The sequence below is a fragment of the Homo sapiens genome, chromosome 1, assembly GCF_000001405.40.
Source record: "Homo sapiens chromosome 1, GRCh38.p14 Primary Assembly".
NCBI lineage: Eukaryota > Metazoa > Chordata > Mammalia > Primates > Hominidae > Homo > Homo sapiens.
Window position 1 is genome coordinate 173,164,659 of NC_000001.11, and position 19,929 is coordinate 173,184,587.

Sequence of the window (19,929 nt, forward strand, 5' to 3'; positions counted from 1 at the left end):
ACATTCAAGGCATACAACATGTTTTGATATACATATACATTTTGAAATTGTGGCAGGCCATGTCTCACTAATACAGGCCCCCATAACAACTGTTTCGGTACTGACCAAGTGGTTAAGTTAAATATTAAAAGCCAGAAAAAGCCCGTGCCCTCATGCAAAGGCTGGAATGTAACAAAAGCCCGCCAAGAAGTTTGCCTAGACCTTTCCTGGGCCTTAACGCATGACAAAATAACGAAGGAATTCTTAACAGGACCCATTTAGGATTAAACAAGCTTTATTATGTGTGTGAAGAAACTCCCCAGGCCTCCACAAACAAGTTAATTGGAGGTCTGAAGGAACGCCCCAAATCTCCGTGATTTAGCAGGAGACAAGGGCAATCACCCCAGCACCTGGACTCATTTAGATTGAGTAAATGTACTGAGGCTCCAGAGGAAGGTCTTCAGGACTCAGACCTTAGTTATAGATTAAAAGAAGCTAATCACTTATGTCTTTAGGTGAATGGACACTTACACGTAGATATATAGCTTAGAAGGTATATAAGCGCTGGAAAACTCTGTAATTTTGAGTTGGTCTGGTGATCATTTCCAGGCCTTCTCCCTGTAACCTGTTACAGAAATAAAAACTCTCTTCCTCCCCAGTACATCTGTGTCTCATTATTGGGCCATGAGAAATAGCAGCCCAACTCTCAGTTTGGTCCAGGAACAAAATGATTTCCACAATCAAGCTAATTAACTTACGTGCTGCCTCACCTTTCTGTGGTGAGAATTCTTAATATATACTCTCTTAGCAAATTTCAAGTACACAATACATTAACTCCAGTCACCATGCTGTGCATTAGGTCTCTGAAAATTATTCATCTTATAACTGCAAGTACGTACTCTTTAACCAACATCTCCCCTTTTATCCCAACCCACCCTGTCTGATCCCTGGTACCCCTCCTATTCTCTGTTTCTGTGAGTTTGATATTTTTAAATTCCACATATAAGTGAGATCATGTAGTATTTGATTTGTTTATGTCTGGCTTATTCTGCTTAACATAACGTCATCTGGTTTCAACTATGTTGTCACAGATGGAAGGATTTTCTTCTTTTTTAAGGCTGAATAATATTCAATTTTGTATATATACCACAATTTCTTTGTGCATTCATCTATCAACAGACATTGAGGTTGTTTCCATGTTTCAGCTATTGTGAATAATACTTCAATGACCATGGGAGGGCAGATATCTCTTCAAGATAGTGATTTTATTTCCTTTGGGTATATACTCAGTAATGAAATTGCTGAATCATGTGGTAGTTTTGTTTTTAATTACTTGAGGAAACTTCATACTGTCTTCCGTAATGGCTGTGCCCATTTAAATTCCCACCAACAATGTATAAGCCATCTCCTTTCTTCACATCCTTGCCAATACTTGATATCTTTTAACTGTATAGCAGCCACCCTAACAGGTGTGAGGTGACATCTCATTGTAGTTTTGATTTACATTTCCTTGATGATTACTGATGTCAAACACTTTTTTATAGAACAGTTAGCTATTTGTATTTATTCCTTAGGAAAATATTTATTCAGGTCCTTTCCCCATTTTTAATTGGGTTATTTGATTTTTTACTATTGAGTTGTATGAGGTCTTTATATATTTTGGATATTACCTCCTTATCAGATATATGATTTACAAATATTTTCCATTCCTAGGGTTGCTTTTTAATTTTATTGATTTTTTTCTTTCCTGTGCAGAAACTTTTCAATTTAATATAGTACCGCTTGTTTATTTTCACTTTTCTTGCCTGTGCTTTTGATGTCATATACAAAAAAATATCGATATGAAAATCTGTAATCCATTTTGAGTCTATTATTGTAAGAACTCAGTTTCCTCTTTTTGCATATGGATATCCAGTTTTCCCAACACCATTTATTGAAGAGATTATTTTTCCTCATTATATATTCTAGGCATACTTTGACAATGAGCCTCTGTCAAAGATTAGTTGACCATATATGTGTGGATTTATTTCTGGGCTTTCTATTCTGTTTCATTGGTTTATGTGTTCATTTTTATGCCAGTACTATATTGTTTTGAGTACTAGAGGTGTGTAATATAATTTTAAATTGAAAAAGAGTGATGCCTCCAGCTTTGTTCTTGTTGCTCCAGATTGCTTTAGCTATTTGGGGTCTTTTGTCATTCCATATTAATTTTAGGATTATTTTTTATATTTCTGTGAAAATTCCATTGGAATTTTGGTAGGGATTGCATTGAATCTCTAGAGAACTTGGAGTAGCATAGATATTTTGACAATATTGATTCCTCAGATCCAATAAACATGGGATATCTTTATGTCTTCTTCAGTTTCTTTCATCAATGCTTTTTTTTTTTTTTTTTTTTTTGAGACGGAGTCTAGCTCTGTGTCCCAGGCTAGAGTGCAGTGGCGTGATCTCGGCTTACTGCAACCTCCACCTCCTGGGTTCAAGCAATTCTCCCGCCTCAACCTCCTGCGTAGCTGGGATTACAGGCACCTGCCACCACACCTAGCTAATTTTTATATTTTTAGTAGAGATGAGGATTCCTGAGTATTTTTTGATGCTATTATAAATGGGATATTTTTCTTAATTCTTTTTCTGATAGTTTCTCCTTGGTGTAGAGAAACACAACTCATTTTTGCATGTTGGTTTTATATCCTACAACTTTACTAAATTCATTTATTAGTTCTAATAGTTTTTGGGTGAAGTTTTTAGGGTTTTTTATATGTAAGATTATGTCTTCTCCAAGCAGAGACAATTACTTTCCAGTTTGAATTCCTTTTCTTTCTTTTTTTCTTTTGCCTATTTGCTCTAACTAAAACTTCTAGTACTACGTTGAATACAAATGGTGAAAGTGGGCATACTTGTCTGGCTCTTGTCCTTAGAGAAAAATCTTTCAACTTTTCATTGTTCAGTATAATGTTAGCTGTGAGCTTGTCATACGTGATCTTTATTATGTTAAGCTACATTCTTTGTATACCTCATTTGTTGAGTGTTTTTATCATGAAAGGATGTTGAATTTTGTCAAGTGCTTTTTCTCCATCTGCTAAGATGATTATATGGTTTTTGACCTTCATTCTGTTAATGTGGTATATCATATTTTTAAATTGTGTCTGTTGAACCATCCTTGAATCTCTGGGATAAATCCCACTTGATCATTGTGTATGATCTTTTTAATGTGCTGTTGAATTCAGTGAGCTAGTATTTTATTGAGGATTTTTGCATCTATGTTCATTAGGGCTATTAGCTTGTAATTTTCTTTTCTTGTAGTCTTTGTGTGGCTTTGGTATCAGGGTGATGCTGGCTTCATAAAATGAGTTTGAAAGTGTTCTCTCTTCTTCAATTTTCTTGACGAGCTTGAGAAACATTGGTATTAGTTCTTTAAATGTTTCATAGAATTTAGCATTGATGCCATCTCATCTTGGACTTTTCTTTGACAGAGGACTTTTTTATCACTGATTCAATATCCTTACTCATTATTCTGTTCAGATTTTCTATTTCACTATAATTCTGTCTTTGTAGGCTGTATGTTTCTAGGAATTTATTCATTTCTTCCAGGCTATCCAATTTGTTGGGGTATAATTGTTCATAGAAATCTCTTATAATCCTTTGTATTTTTGTGTTATAAGTTGTGATGCCTCCCCTTTCATTTCTGATTTCATTTATTTTAGACTTTTCTCATTTTTTCTTAGTCTAGCTAGCCAAATATTTGTCAATTTTATCTTTTTGAAAAAAAACTCAGTTTTTAAATTTTATATTGTTTTTCTAGCCTCTAGTTCATTTATTTCTGCTCTGATCTTTGTTATTTTCTTTCTTATAGTAATTTGGGGCTTAGTTTCTTCTTTATCTACTTCCTTGAGATATAAGATTATATTATTCATTTGAGAGCTTTCTTCTTTTTTAAGGTGGGCATTTATTGCTATAAACTTTCCTCTTAGAAGTATTTTTGCTGTATTTATAAGTTTTTAGAGATTGTATTTCCATTTTTATTGGTCACTAGACTTTTTTTACTTTACTTTTGATTTTTTTCTATGACCCATTGGTTTCACATATGTATATTGTTTAATTTCCACATATTGGTAAATTTTCCAGTTTTCCTCCTGTTATTGATTTCTAGTTTTATAACATTACAACCAAAAAATGTACTTGCTATGATTTCAGACATCTTAAAGTTGTTGAGAATTGTTTCATAGCACAGGCAACAAAAACAAAAATAGAAAAATGAGACATATATTACACTAAAAAAACTACTGCACAGCAAAGGAAACCATCAACAGAGTGAAGAAACAACCTGTTGAATGGGAGAAAATATTTTCAAACTATTCATCCAACAAGGAACTAATACTCAGAATATAAAAGGAACTCAAACAACTCAAAAATAAAATAAACAAATAAACCCATTAAAAAGTGGTCAAAGGAAATGAATAGACATGTCTCAAAGGAAGACATACTTGCAAGTATCTGGCTGACAGATATTTGAAAAAATGCTCAACACCACTAATCATCAGAGAAATGCAAATCAAAACCACAATAAGATATCACCTTACCCAGTTAGAATGGCTATTAACAAAAAGACAAAAAATTACATATGCTGATGAGGGAGCAGAGAAAAGGAAGCTCTAATACATTGTTGGTGGGAATATGAATTAGTACGACTACTACGGAAAAAGTATAGAGATTTCTCAAAAAAAAATAGAACTACCATATGATCCAGCAACCCCTCTACCATATATTTATTCAAAGGAAAGGAAATCAGTATATCAAAGGTATACCTGCATCCCATGTTTACTGCAGCACTCTTCCCAGGAGCAAAGATATAGAATCAACCTTAGTGTCCAACAACAGATGAATGGATAAAGAAAATGTAGTATATATACACAATGGAATATTATTTGGCCATAAAAAATTAAATTATATTAGTTGCAGTATCATGAATGGAACTGAACATCATTATGTTAGGTGAAATAAGTCAGGCACAGAAAGACAAATATCACGTGTTCTCAATCATGTGGAAGCTAAAAAAGTTGATCTCATGGAGCTAGAGATTAGAATGATAGATACCAGAGGCTGGCAAAAGTGTGACAGTGGGGATGAAGAGAGGTTGGTTAATGGGTACAAACACACAGTTAGATAGATGAAATAAGTTCTACTGTTTGAAATCAGTGTGGAGTGGCTATAGTTAACAATATATTATATATTTCAAAATAGCTTGAAGACTTAAAATGTTCCCAATACATTAAAATGAGAAATACTTGAGGTGATCAATACCCAAAATACCATGACTTGATCATTATACATTCTATGCATGTAACAAAATATCACATGTACTCCATAATATACAACTATTGTCTATCAATTTTAAAAAGACTTGTTTTGTAGACCTGCATATGACTTATCTTAGAAAATGTTATGTGTGCTCCTGACAAGAATATGTATTCTAGTTCTGTTGGATAGAGTTTTTTGTATGTCTGTTAGGTCTGTTTTGTTTAAAGTATAGTCCAAATCCAATGTCTTTTGACTGGTGAATTTAATCCATTTCAGTCAAGGTAGTTATTGATAGATAAGGACTCACTATTACCATTTTTTCATTGTTTTCCAGCTATATTATAGATCCCTTTTTTCCTTTTTTCCTCTCTGTCTTCTTTTATGATTTGATGATTTTCTGTAGTGGTGTGCTTTGATTTCTTTCTCTTTATCTTTTGTGTAGCTATAATAGGTTTTCACTTTATGGTTACCATGAGGCTTACATATAACATCCATCTTATAGTTACAACAGTCTATTTTAAGCTTATAACTTCAATTGCATTAAAAAAAATCTTTACACTTTTTATTTTACCCCCACCATATTTTGTTTGATGTCACAATTTACATCTTTTTATATTATATATCCATTAAAAAAATTATTGTAGCTATAGATATTTTTAATAGTTTCATCTTTTTTTATACTAGAGATACAGGTAATTTATACACCACCATTATAGTATTAGAGTATTCTGAATTTGACTATGCACTTTTACCAGTGAGTTTTATACTTTCATATGTTTGCATATTACTGAGTAGCATCCTTGTGTTTCAGCTTGAAGAACTCTCTAGCATATCTAGTGGTTATGTACTCCCTCAGATTTTGTTTGTCTGGGAAAACTTTTATCACTCCTTGATTTTTGAAGAACAGATTTCTGAGCTGAGTATTCTTCATTAGCAGTTTTATTCTTTCAGCACTTTGAAAATGTCATTCCACTCTTTTCTAGGCTGCAAAGTTTCTTCTGAGAAAGCCACTTATAGCTTTTGGGGTGTTTCTTTTTATGGGAGGAACTTCTATATGCTTGCTACTTTCAAGATTTTTTATCTTTGGGTTTTGAGAGTTTGATTATATTATGCCTCAGTGAAGTCTTCTTTGGATTGAACCTAATTGCAGATCTTTGAGTTTCATGTATCTGGATGCTCATTTTCCCCCCAGATTTGGGAAGTTTTCTGTTGTTATATCTTTAAATAAACTTTCTGCCCCTTTCTCTGTCTGCTCCTTCTATAAAATACAATCATGCAAATGTTAGCTTTCTCGATGGTATCTCATAAATCCCCTAGGTTTTCTTCATTCCTTTCCACTCTTTTTTCCTTCTCAATATGTATTTTTAAATGCCTTGTCTTAGAGATCGCACATTCTTTCTTTTACTTGATCAAGTCTGCTGTTGATCCTCTCTATTATATTTTTCATTTCATTCCTTGTATTTTTCACCTCCAGAATTTCTGTTTGGTTTTTAAAAAATTATTTATAACTCTCTATTGGTCTTCTCATTTAGTTCATGTATTGTTTTCCTGAGTTTTGTTGTCTATCTGTGTTTACTTGTAGCTCCCAGAGCCTCATTAAAACAATTATTTGGAATTCTTTGTCAAGTACTTTATACATCTCTGTTTCTTTGAAAATGGTTTCTGGAAAATTGCTGTGTACCTTGGGGACTGACTTTTTTTTTAATGTTTCTTGTTACCTTGCATTAACGTCTGTGCATTTGATAGAGCAGTCACCTCTTCTAGACTTCACAGACTGTTTTCAATAGAGAAAGACCTTCATCTACAGGTGTGTGAAAATGCACTGGCTGGATGAAATGGGGGGATTCTGGCTGTGATGAGTACACAGTGATGTAGTCTCCAAGCAGCTCTGTCAGCTGAGGTTGACATTGGTGAAGAATACAGGGGTCCTCTGTGGCCATGGCTGTGGGTGTCTACACTGGTGACTAGGACTGCTAAAATTCTCCTGATTTATATTTCTTTCACTGAAAAAGTCAAGGCTGAGGGGATCCCTCTTAGCACCAAGTCCAATGGTTGGGTGCATTTGTGGTGATGCGTCACTGGTGTCTGATGCATGGCACCCATGGAGTGACCATGAAGCTAGGGTCTGGAGCACAATATTGCATGGAAGGACCATGGCTTTGGGGTCAGAGGCAGCAGCGGCATCAGTGCCTGGGGTGCAGGAGCTCTTGCTGCTGTATCGGTAATGATGTGTGAGGTGCAGGCATTCATGAAGTAGCTGTGGAGCCTGGGTCTGGTGTACAGGCATGTGTAGGGTTACCACTGCTCCAGGGAGCAGGTTGCTGACATGACTGCTGCAGTGGTAGCTCCAGTATTAGAGTGGCCACAGACCCTGGGTCTGAAACATAAGTATGCTTGGAACAGTGGCTCCACTGACCAGGGTGCAGGCTAGCTCATTGTGATGGTGGTTCTGGTGTCTGGGGTGCAAGCATGGTTAATGCAGCCATAAATCTGGGGCAGGGAGTTCACAGGAAATCAGAGAAAGGGTTGCCTCAGTCCCAGAGCTGCACAACAGTGGCTTCTTTTAGGGGTGACATAGCATTATCTCCCTCTCCAGGGAGTTCACAGTGTTGATTGCTATTAGTTACCTCAATGGCAAAAGCTTCCAGTGCCCTCTGCAGAGCATGCCACTGGGGACCACAGTGGAACCCACTGTGTAACTGTGACTCAAGCTGATATCCCCTGCTCTATGTTCCTGTTTCTAGTCATCTCTACACATCTCAGGTATGCTGATATCCCCAACAATCATTATGTGTTATTATTATCTATTTTTTGCACCACTGTGTTGCTGCACGTTCTTAATTAGACCCTTGAGCCCTCTCAAAACTATTTTCCTTTGTGGATTGATGTATTAGTCCATTCTCATGTTGCTATAAAGAACTGCCCAAGACTGGGTAATTTATAAAGGAAAGAGATTTAATTGACTCACAGTTCTGCAGGGCTGGGAAGGCCTCAGGAAATTTACAATCATGACGGCAGGGGAAGCAAACATGTCCTTCTTCACAAGGCAGCAGCAAGAAGTGCAGAGTGAAGGAGGAAAAATCCCCTATAAAACCATCAGATCTCATGACTACTCCCTCACTATCATGAGAACAGCTTGGGGGAACTACCCCCATGATCTAATCACCTCCCATGAGGTCTCTCCCCAACATGTAGGGATTATAATTTGTATTACAATTCAAGATGAGATTTGGGTGAGGACACAGAGCCAGACTATATCATTCTACCCCTGGTCCCTCCCAAATCTCCTGTTTCTCACATTTCAAAACACAATTATGCCTTCCCAACAGTTCCCCAAAGTCTTAACTCATTTCAGCATTCATCCAAAGGTCAAAATCCATAGTCTCGTCTGAGACAAGGCAAGTCCCTTTTGCCAACGAACCTGTAAAATCAAAAGAAAGTTAGTTACTTCCAAGATATAATGGGAGTACAGGCACTGGATAAATGCACCCATTCCAAATGGGAGAAATTGACCAAAACAAAGGGGCTACAGTCTCCTTGTAATAGGGCAAATTATTAATTATTAATAGGGCAAACAACAAAGGTTGTCCATGAGGGCTCCACCCCTGCAGCAAACTTCTGCCTGAACATCCAAGCATTTCCATACATCCTCTGAAATCTAGGCAGAGGTACCCAAACCTTAATTCTTGACTTCTGTACACTCGCAGGCCCAACACCATATGTAAGCTGCCAAGGCTTGGGGCTTGCACCGTCTGAAGCAAGGGCGTGAGCTGTACATTGGCCCTGTTTGGCCATGGCTGGAGTTGAAGCAGCTGGGACACAGGGCACCATGTCCCGAGGTTGCATAGAGCAGGGGGGCCCTGGGCTGTGCCCAGAAAACCATCCTTCCTTTCCAGGCCTCAGAGCCTGTGATGGGAGGGGCTGCCACGAAGGTCTCCGACATGCCCTGGAGACATTTTCTCCATTGTCTTGGTGATTAATACTTGGTTCCTCATTACTTAAGCAAATTCCTGCAGCCAGCTTGAATTTCTCCCCAGAAAATGGGTTTTCCTTTCTGTCACATTGTCCGGCTGCAAATTTTTCAAACTTTTATGCTCTGCTTCCTCTTGAATGCTTTGCAGCTTAGAAATTTCCTCTGCCAGATACTCTAAATCACCTCTCTCAAGTTCAAAGTTCCACAGATCTCTAGAGCAAGGCCAAAATGCTGCCAGTCTCTTTGCATAGCAAGAGTGACCTTTACTCCAGGTCCCAATGAGTTCCTCATCTCCATCTGAGACCACCTCAGTCGGGACTTTATTTTCCATATCACTATCCGCATTTTGATCAAAGCCATTCAACAAGTCTCTAGGAAATTCCAAACTTTTCCACATTTTCCTGTCTTCTGAGCCCTCCAAACTGTTCCAACCTCTACCTGTTACCCAGTTCCAAAGTAACTTCCACATTTTCATGTATCTTTACAGTAGCACCCCACTCTCTGTGGTACCAGTTTACTGTATTAGTCCATTCTCATGCTGCTATAAAGAACTGCCCGAGACTAGGTAATTTATAGAGGAAAGAGGTTTAACTGGCTCACAGTTCTGCAGGGCTGGGGAGGCATTGGGAAACTTACAATGGTGGCAGGGGAAGCAAACGTGTCCTTCTTCACATGGCAGCAGCAAGAAGTGCAGAATGAAGGGGGAAAAGTTCTTTATGAAACCTCAGATCTCATGAGAACTCACTCAGTATCAGAACAGCATGGGAGAACCACCCCCATGATCTAATCACTTCCCACGAGATCCCACCCCAGACTACAAGATGAGATTTGGGTGGGGACACAGAGCCAAACCATATCAATTGCTGTCTCATTGTTTTCTGTGGGGGAATGAAAGCTGGTATCTCATACACTGCCATATGGCCAATGTCACTTCTATAGAATTTTCAATAATGAAACAAAAAGCTACAGGGCTAGCACCTCATACAGATTATACAGTCTGTCCCACTTGGTAATAATGTAAAAAATACCACTTATCTTAATCATCTATCTTGTAAACCTACAGACTTTCATCTTTCTTTACTCCTTTTAGAGTCTCTTACGTCTTTGTTTTCTGTGAAGTAAGATCCTATCGGGCAGGGACTGTGGTTTCTACAAGTGGTAATTAAAAATTATTAAATACCTTGAAAATGTCATAATCTGTGACCCGTGGTTGGTGTTTTGTTTAATCCTCAAAACAATCCTATGAGATAATTTGTATGATGGCAGAGCAGGGAAGGCAGTGATCAGTAGACCTACAATTAAGTAAAACCAGAGGATACAGCTGATAAGTGGTGGTAAAATCTCAACTTGAACACAAGCCTCCATTGATTCTAAATCTTGAGTGCTTTAGACCAACCATATTATTCTAGTGTCTTTCTATTTCTCTCAGATTCCCCAGAACACCTAACACAGTGGCAGGTACTTTATAAAAGAATTTTTAACAAATATTTGTTTAAATAAATTAATTTTGTTATAGGCCCTCAAATTTAATAAATCTCTAGTGTAAATCTACATTCTTGAAAGGCTCTTATATTATCCATTCCTTGATTTTTTTCTCTATGCCTACTTTATTTTTGCTTTCTCCTCACTTGTACTCCCTCATTCCTTCCCTGATGCTATCAGGCCCCCTGAAAAGGAAGCTTTTGTTTAGAAAGTTATAGCACAACTTGTGCTGCCACTTAGCCACTTGAGAATTTCTGGCAGAAGTCTTATGAAGAGCATGACTTACTGTAATTTGAGAGGCTCTTGTTTTATTTAACATTATGGGAAAAACAATCATCAGGTCAGACCAGCACTTCTTATGTAATGGGGATTTAGGCTCAACTGTCTACATGTCTAGACTAAGCTTGGGACCCTATTTTTCCCCAGGCTCCTTAGCTAGGTTTATTCCTCTTCCAGAAAGACTTTTGTTGGCGCATACATGAGTTCCATTTTCAATTGACACTAAACTAACAGAGCAGTCTACCAAGACAGGAGGAAGTCATGGTTTTTTGTTTTTTTGTGTTTTTTTTCCTAATCTAAGACCAGCTGGCTGATGCTTCCTCTCACAAATGTCTTGTGTTTGTAAGTACATGGCTGGGGCGTAGACTCAAAATGAATGCTACAGCTTCCTTATATCCTATACAAAGTATCTTGTTCTGTGTATCAAAAAGTTGTGGACAGGTAATTAGTAGTGGTGTAATTGCTTTTTTTGTGGGTACATAATTATAATTTATGAAGCTTGCCTAACAAATCATATCCGTAAAAACTAACTACCTTCAGAAAACAGTAAAAATATGGGCCCTTCGATAATTATTTCCATGCTACCAGTATGGACAAAAAAAAATTAACCAAGGGAAGAACCTGAACTTACAGAAGGAATATTTCACTATTTAATGAGGAGATATTATTAATGAGGATACTCTATCCCTCAGATGTTGTGTCACTTTGGGAAAGAAAAAATATGGACTCTGAAATCAAAACCGCAGTGAGAGATCATCTCACACGAGTCAGAATGGCTAGTATTAAAAAGTAAAATAATAACAGATGTTGGCAAGGTTGTGGAGAAAAGAGAATGCTTATACGCTGCTGGAGGGAATGTAAATTAGTTCAGTCACTATGGAAATCATAAGTTTGGTGAGTTCTCAAAGTTCTGAAAACAGAACTATCATTCAACCCAGCAAAACTATTATTGGGTATATACACAAAGAAATATAAATCATTGTACCATAAAGACACATAGATACATATGTTCATCACAGCACTATTCACAATAGCAAAGACATGGAATCAACCTAAATGCCCATCAACAGTAAACTGGATTAAAAAATGTGATTCATATATACCATGGACTACTACACAGCCATAAAAAGAACTAGATAATGTCCTTTGCAGCAACACGGATGGAACTGGAGATCATTATCCTAAGCAAACTAATCCAGGAAAAGAAAGCCAAATACCACATGTTATCACTTATAAGTGGGAGCTAAACAACAAAAACATGTGGACACAGAGAGGGGAACAATAGACACTGGGGCCTACTTGAGGGTGGAGGATGGGGGTTAGGAGAGGATAAAAAACTACCTATCGAGTACTGTGCTTATTACTTGGGTGATGAAATAACTTGTGCACCAAACACCCATGACACACAGATTACCTATGTAACAAACCCACACATGTAGCCCTGAACCTAAAATAAAAGTTTTAAAAATGGTTGAAAAGGTAAATTTTATGCTTGCATATTTTACCACTGAATTTTTAGACTAGAAAATATTATAATTTTACCTTAAAGAAAGAAAATGTGGTATATATACACAATGGAATACTATTTGGCTGTAAAAAAGAACAAGATCATGTCCTCTGCAGCAACATGGATGGAGCTGGAAGCCATTATACTAAGCAAACTAATGCAGGAACAGAAAGCAAAATGCCTCATGTTCTTACTCATAAGTGGGACCTAAACATTGAGTACAAATGGACACAAAGAAGGAAACAACAGACACCGGGGCCTACTTGAGGGTAGAGTGTGCGAGGAGGCTGAGGATGGAAAAGCTACCTATCGGGTTCTTACATGGGTGACGAAAAAATCTGTATACCAAACTTCCATGACACACAATTTACCTATATAACAAACCTGTGTGTGTACCCCTGAACCTAAAATAAATTTTTTTTAAAATAAAAAATGCAGATTCTATATGGGAATTTTGTTAGCAATTGCAGTTTTCAGTCTCTGTCCCTGCTAAGTTTCTTCAAGGTAAATCATTTAGTCATTCACAAACAAATATTTACTGGCCAACTTTATGGGCATAGCACTTTGTTAAGTAGAGAAACTTGTTATTATGGAACTTAAAAAAACAACTTGCATCAAATCACTATAATGCAAAATAGAAAGTAATAAGTGCCATTAAAGAATTATATGTTACAGGAATTCAAAAAAAGTAAAAGATATATTCTTCCTAGTGACATTAAAGAAGTTCTCATGGAGGAGCATGTTTGAGCTGAGCCTTGAATGATGGTTACACATCTACTTTTCATATTATAAATAACACAGTTTCAGAATAGAAAAACTAGCCACCATTAATATCATTAGTAAGAACAGTTTAAAACACATTTTAATACCCTCTCCTTATTATCCTACCTATTTTTTAGACTTATACCCACATTACCAGAGGATATACCCATTATATATCATAATCTTTTCCTTTTAAGCCTTATTTTTGTAAAAATCACATGTTTCATAGTCACCACAAGTCCCGAAGTCAATGTCTCTTTAGTTACTTTAGCTGTCTGGAGCTCTTTTTCTAATAGATCCTTTAGGAAGGGCTCATAGGAACAACATTCCCTGAATTCTTAAAAGTTGAATATCAGGTCAGGCGCGGTGGCTCACCCCTGTAATCCCAGCACTTTGGGAGGCCGAGGCAGGCGGATCACGAGGTTAGGAGATCCAGGCTGTCCTGGCTAAACGATGAAACCCTGTTTCTATTAAAAATACAAAAAATTAGCCAGGCGTGGTAGCTGGCGCCTGTAGTCCCAGCTACTGGGGAGGCTGAGGCAGGAGAATGGCGGGAACCCGGGAAGCAGAGCTTTCAGGGAGCTGAGATGGCGCCACTGCACTCCAGCCTGGGCGACAGAGACAGACTCCGTCTCAAAATAAAAAAATTTAAAAATTAAAAAAATAAGTTGAATATCAGTTTTGCTGGATATAAAATTCTTGGCTTCTATTTTCTTTTCTCATGTATTTAAAATATGTTATTCTGTTTCCTTCTGGCTTAAAATATTTCCGGTAGGTTGAATAATGACCCCCAAAAATATGTATGCTCTAATGCCTGAAGCCTGTGAATGTTACCTCCTGGCAAAACAGACTTTGCAGACACCATTAAGTTAAAGATCTTGAGATGAGGAGATTATCCTGAATTTTCCAGGGGGTTCCTAAATGTAACCATTTTTTATAAGAGAGAGACAGTGGCAGACTTGACTGTAGAAAGGAAAGAAAGCAATGTAACTATTGAAGCAATGGGAGAAAATGTGATATGATACAGGACTATTAACCAAAGAGTGAGAAATGCCTCTAGAATCTGGAACTAGCAAGGAGATGAGTTCTCCCGAGAGTCTCAAAAAGGAACCAGCTCTGCTAACAACATGCTTTTAGCCCCTCCAAGACTCATTTCAGACTTCTGGCCTTCAGAACTCTCAGAGAATAAATTTTGTTGTTTTAAGCCACTTCGTTCGTGGTAATTTTTTACAGCAGATATAGAAAACTAATAGAGTGTTAGTCTCAAAGAGTCTGATGATAATATTTTTGCCCAGATGCAAACAGAACTGGAGAAGCTGAAGCTCCACAGCAACACGATGAGCCAGAAGATCAGGAGCAATGGGCATGAGTTGCACAGCACCTGGCACTGTACTCCAAACTTTAGAGTAGAAAAATGGCTGTCCCTTCACTTTCACCTTCTAAATCTCATGCGAACTTTGCCTTGTTGCTACACAGGAAGAGGAATTCTGGGGACTATACTTCTAGCTTGGCTAACTTGTGTTAGTACAAACCCACCACATTTCACCCCTTGTCGACTTGACATCTATACACACCCCTTTAATCATACCTAACATCCAAATAAAGACAATAGTAAAATGATGCTTCTACCCAATGATGCTGATATCCGTTGTATAATCAAAAACATGTTAGCTCTCTCCTGCAAATAAGATACAAGTTTTTTTATCCATCTTTGGATGATGTTCATTCTTCTTCTAGTTGAGTCATACTCCCTCTTTGATATTCTCTAACTTAAGTGATAAGATATAAAATGAATTACCATTAACACTGTTAAATTAGAATGAAGAGGAATGGGAGAGTGGAAGGAAAGCACTGGCTAATACATAGACAAATATATTCATACCAAAATAAGAAAGAAGCTAATAACCATTCGCCTTCATTTCTAAAATTGGTCATATAGTCTTGGATGGTATTTTTAACTTCCTTTTACCACTCTTTACCCCCAGCCATTGACCCTTGCCAACAGTTCACAGAGCTGGTTTCTTCCAATTTTCAGACCTTAACTTAAATGTCATCTCCCCAGAGAGACCTTGCCTCTTTCCAATTTCAAGTAGACCATCCCATTTTTTTCTCATAGCATTCTGATTTTTTCTTTCAAATTATACGTGTTCACTGTTTCTTATTTCTTCATGCCTCTCAAAATAACAATACTTTTGAATGAATGAACAAATTAATTCCTTCCTTTCTTTACCACCCATATGTACCAATCCCAAAGTGCTATTAGTTTTTTATTCCTGATATATTTCAGATCCATTCATTTCTTTCCAGTCGTCAGCACTCAGCTTCTTATCTGATATCCTGGCTCCTAGCTTCTCTTCAATCCAATTCATACCACTCACTATATTCAACGCTTGGTGAGAAGAAATGATTTCATATTTGTCTTTACATTTCTAGTACCTAGCACTGTAGACACACAATACATACAGTAGAAATTCAATCGGTATCTGTGGATGAATGGATAAAGTATCATTAATTATATAAGTAATGTATTATAAAATCTACTGCTCTGTCTCAGGTCTCCTTATGTTACAAATTGACACCCTAGAAATGAAAATTCATAGATAAAATTATTTTAGACTTTCAAATGTCTGCCTTTTCAAAAACTACTATTTATTTGACCACTAATAAAATGAGATTTAACCATGCATGCAATGAGAATTGTTTATTACTTACCTAGAAGAAGTGTGTTTGCGTCAGTGTTCAAGAGTTTAAAATAGTATGAACATGATTAAAGGGATAGAAATAGTATTAATTTAAATAATTAAAATAATTTGGTATATTTTATCAATGCTACTTACTGATGCAACAGTATTTTGAAGTGCATCTAGGTAATGCATGTGTGTTAGGGATACGATGAACAATAGACATGATAGCAACAAGTATTTGGGAGAGCAAAAGAGATCAAGCTCAGCTAATTTTTACTTCTCTCAAGGAAACAGATGATTACTAAGTACCTAGCACAATGCCTGGCATAGCATATAGTAGAAGCAGAAAAAATTTATTTCAAACTGGCTGAGTGTTGATGGTTTTATAATAGTAAGTGAGATTTTCATAAATTTAAAAGGCCATGTTGCCTTAAGGAATGATCATAGGATTATAGAATGTTATACCTTGAAACTGATTATAAGGGGAGAATACAGATTGTCATATCCTAAAAATTACTTAAAGGGTGTATGTCCTTGTTAATAAATAGTTCATCCTAAATGACAATAGAGCACTGGACTGAAATGACCTTTAGAGATTACCTTCTGCTAATATTTCTACAACTTTGGGTCTTCCTGTTAATTACTTTTGTATTTTGTTGTTATTGTTCTTTGTTTTTAACCTCAAGCCTCAAATACCAAAGAAGGCCAAGATCGTATAAATCAGGAGAAAAATCAGGTCTTATGTCCACAGCAATAAAGAGCTGTATTTTCTCAGCATTGGCAGGACTCCAGGGAAATCCAAATGCTAAAAGTCTGTGTTTCCGCTCCTAACATCCCTCTGTTCCCTCAGTAGATAAGCCACAAGGATATGATCAAAGTCAATCAGTTCCATTGACCAAAATTTGATCAAAGCCCATTTTAAAATCATGCCCCATGAGACCATGGCACCAGATTTCTCAAGGGCTCTGGCATAATGGTAGGATACTCTGAGCGCTCAATCTCCTCTTCCTAAGGCAGTTCCCTCCCTGAATGCTACTCCAGTTGTTCCCCAGGCCCTTAGTCGGAACTAGAGGGCCTTACATTCCATGACTCAGGGCCATCTGACCAGCTTTAGGGGATGGAGGGAAGGTAAGGCATTAAAAGTGTTCATGTGCCAATTCTGCTAGGTAATATTGACATTTACATTTTAACAACATCTTTCCGTGCTTTGATCCCGTGGAGTGAATGAGTGGCTACAACAGCTACAATGGCTAGTTACAAGGTATGCTGCTAAGGAAGGCTCCAAACCATCCACATACTCCGTAAGGAAGGCTGCTGCAGGAATAAAATTCCAAAGGGCTGCCAAAAAATATATTTAAGTAATAAAAAATACATGTATAGAGTGGTTGAAATCCGCAGGGACTACTTCTTGGTGCTCCTAACATTCCATTTGATATTTTAAAATGCTACTGAAAACCACCCCAGTATGGTCTTTATTAAACATTCACTTCTGAACTTAATAAGCTCTGTGCATACCTTTTGCAAAAAGTATTATAAACTTGGTTCTTATGTTCTTACAACATTTCTTTTTCTTATTCTCTTCTAGTAAAAGTAATTCAAAGCTTTTGTTCAACTGATAGAAAAAATAAGGTATTTTTATGAATTGGGCCAAAAGGGAAAACGGAAAAATGTTTATGCATTTACCCAACATCATGAACCAGGAGGAGGGACTTGCCAAAGAGGATAGAATGTTCTATTTTGAGCATACTAAGTAGAAGAGCCCATTACATCCATACAGAGCTGCCCAGAAGCAGAGTAGCAGTGGTTGAAAGTGTGGTCTTGGGTGTTAACTACCCTTGATCTTGAATCTAAGCCCCACCACTTAGTAGCTGCATGCGTTTAGACAAGTTCACCTCTCAGAGTCTCAAGTTTTCAGACGTAAAATAGGAATTATACCACTTACCTCAAAGAATTGTTGAGACAATGGAAATAACAATTTATATAAATGGCTAATACGATGCCTGGCACAGGGAAAGAACTCACTAAATGGTATTTTATTACTAATAACACAAGTGATTACAACAAATGAGGCACTGGAGTAGAAGACATCTGGGCTGAAAAACGGTCTTAGGTATTGCTGATGTGGGAGCATTGATTGAAGGCACAAGAATCAATGAGATTGGCAAGGGTATAGAGCAGAGACCACAACTCAAATGCCTGAGGGACTTCAGCAGTGAGTTTGTGTAAGTGCATTTGCACATTGTGTGGGTGAGGAGAACTCTTGGGAAATGGAGTTCATGGAGTCTCCTTAAAGAGGGAAGCTGCCACTCTGTTTGGGAAGGTTGCTGCCATGCCAAAATTGGGCCCAGCATCACCAGATCTCCTGTTTCTGTTTTTGGTTTTGTTTTCAAAAAAGATCAGAAATTTCCCGATATTTAAATATCAGCTACTAAATTCAACTTAATAAACAGATGAAACACAGACATAGGCTAGACTGCGGCTCATTGGCTGCCAGATTGCAGTTTCTGCTGTAGAGAAAGAATAGGGCTGAGAGTAGAGTCCTGAAGTACACCAGCATTAAAGGGGTGGCAGAGAAAGAGGAGGGGTGATGAAGACTAAGAAAGGCAGAGAACAGAAAGAGAAGTCCAGAAAAGGGTGAGGTCAAAAAAGCTGGGGAACAGAAGTGTTTTAAGGAGGACAACGTCATCAGCACCATCAAAAGTAGCACAGGGATCACTGTGGCCAGACTATGCTACACAAACCCATTAATAGTTGTGACCTTTTATTGAGACAGCAGATGTAATTACCACTTAGGAGAGGGGACATAAGAAATCATCCAGGGTTAGAAATAAGGTTCTGAGGAAAGGAAAAACAGTACATGGTAGAACTCTATTTAAATCAGTCTCTCTTGAACCATGAAGAGGGACTCTAAGGACCTCCAGTGAGCATCTTTTCAAAAGCAAAGATGGGCTTTGCCACCTCAACCATCCCTCAGATGTGTCTTTGATGGCTAAAACTGGAGGCAAGTAGGAAACTGGAAAGCTTGCCCCGTCCTCCCCTCTTCAGAGGATGAGCTACTCAGAACATGGAGAAGACAAGGATAAATGAACACTCCAACACTCTCACCAGTAGTGAATTCTGAGATCTTTTATTTGTTTCCATGTAAATAGCAATATTACTATTAACTATATTATTAATATCAATATTAATACTCTCTGAGAGCCAGGAAAGCACTAAATACAAAATTATGACTTAAAATAGGGGACCTGCCCAGTATACTTAAGAACAAATTATGATTTGGATCGGGATTGGAATCCCTTAAGCATTCTCTAAATAGAAAATATCTAACTAACAATTGATAACTGCTCTTGAAGGACTCACAAAGATGGCTGAGGAAGATGTAAGCTTGTCCAGAAAAAAATACATTCAACATAGTAAAGGAGAAGGTTACACTCCTTGACTCATAGCAACAAGAACATAGACATTTAATATGTGCATTCACAGATAACACTGTAAGCATAAGATTCTAAACTGTTAGATATTTAACATTCCTCTCATTTAACAGAAAGAAAAGCAAGACCCAGAAATGGGAAATGACTTTCCCAAGGTTACATGGCTAGTTAGTGGCTAAGTCAAATTTAAAATTCTGATCTCCTGACTTTTCATTCAATTCTTTTCCCACAAAACTCTGCCATGTATATCGAAGGGTTAATTCTCCCTGTGAAGGACATGACTTACAGGGACTGAGACACACACACATATTTTTGATGGAAGGAAGGTGGAGTGAGGCTGGTGCATAGCAGAAATATCCCTGTGTGGTTGCAGAGGCCAACATGGGAAGAGCAGGCCAGGTGCACCCAAAGCGAGTGAGCACCTAAGAGAGGGGACCATGACATCAAAGACAAACAACACACACAACATATACTTAGGCCTGCATGTGCACTGCACATCTGTGAGAAATATAGATAAAAATTCCAAACTTAAAA

General features: G+C 37.4%; 1 protein-coding gene across 7 annotated transcripts in view, besides 1 other annotated feature; it reads right to left on the reverse strand.

The window, feature by feature from the left end:
* Window positions 1-561: an enhancer, noted in NCBI's record as "OCT4-NANOG hESC enhancer chr1:173133798-173134358 (GRCh37/hg19 assembly coordinates)". NCBI's record gives its function as "activates a minimal SCP1, AML or CMV promoter by ChIP-STARR-seq in naive H9 embryonic stem cells {active_cell/tissue: H9 hESC(naive)}" and the evidence as "EXISTENCE:reporter gene assay evidence [ECO:0000049][PMID:30033119]".
* Window positions 8,212-19,929, reverse strand: part of TNFSF4 (TNF superfamily member 4) — a 277,864-nt gene continuing 266,146 nt past the window's right edge. For 6 of the 7 annotated variants that reach the window (XM_047429896.1, XM_047429902.1, XM_011509964.3 and 3 more), the window contains one exon: window positions 19,073-19,929. This exon is cut by the window's right edge and continues 2,278 nt beyond it. Coding sequence is in view for 1 of the 7 variants with exons in the window: in XM_047429908.1 (XP_047285864.1) it covers window positions 8,647-8,698; window positions 10,431-10,542 (164 nt within the window). In the remaining 6 variants the exon portion in view is untranslated. Of the gene's footprint in view, window positions 8,699-10,430; window positions 10,543-19,072 lie in introns of those variants that run through there. The other variant, XM_047429908.1, reaches the window with a different exon arrangement.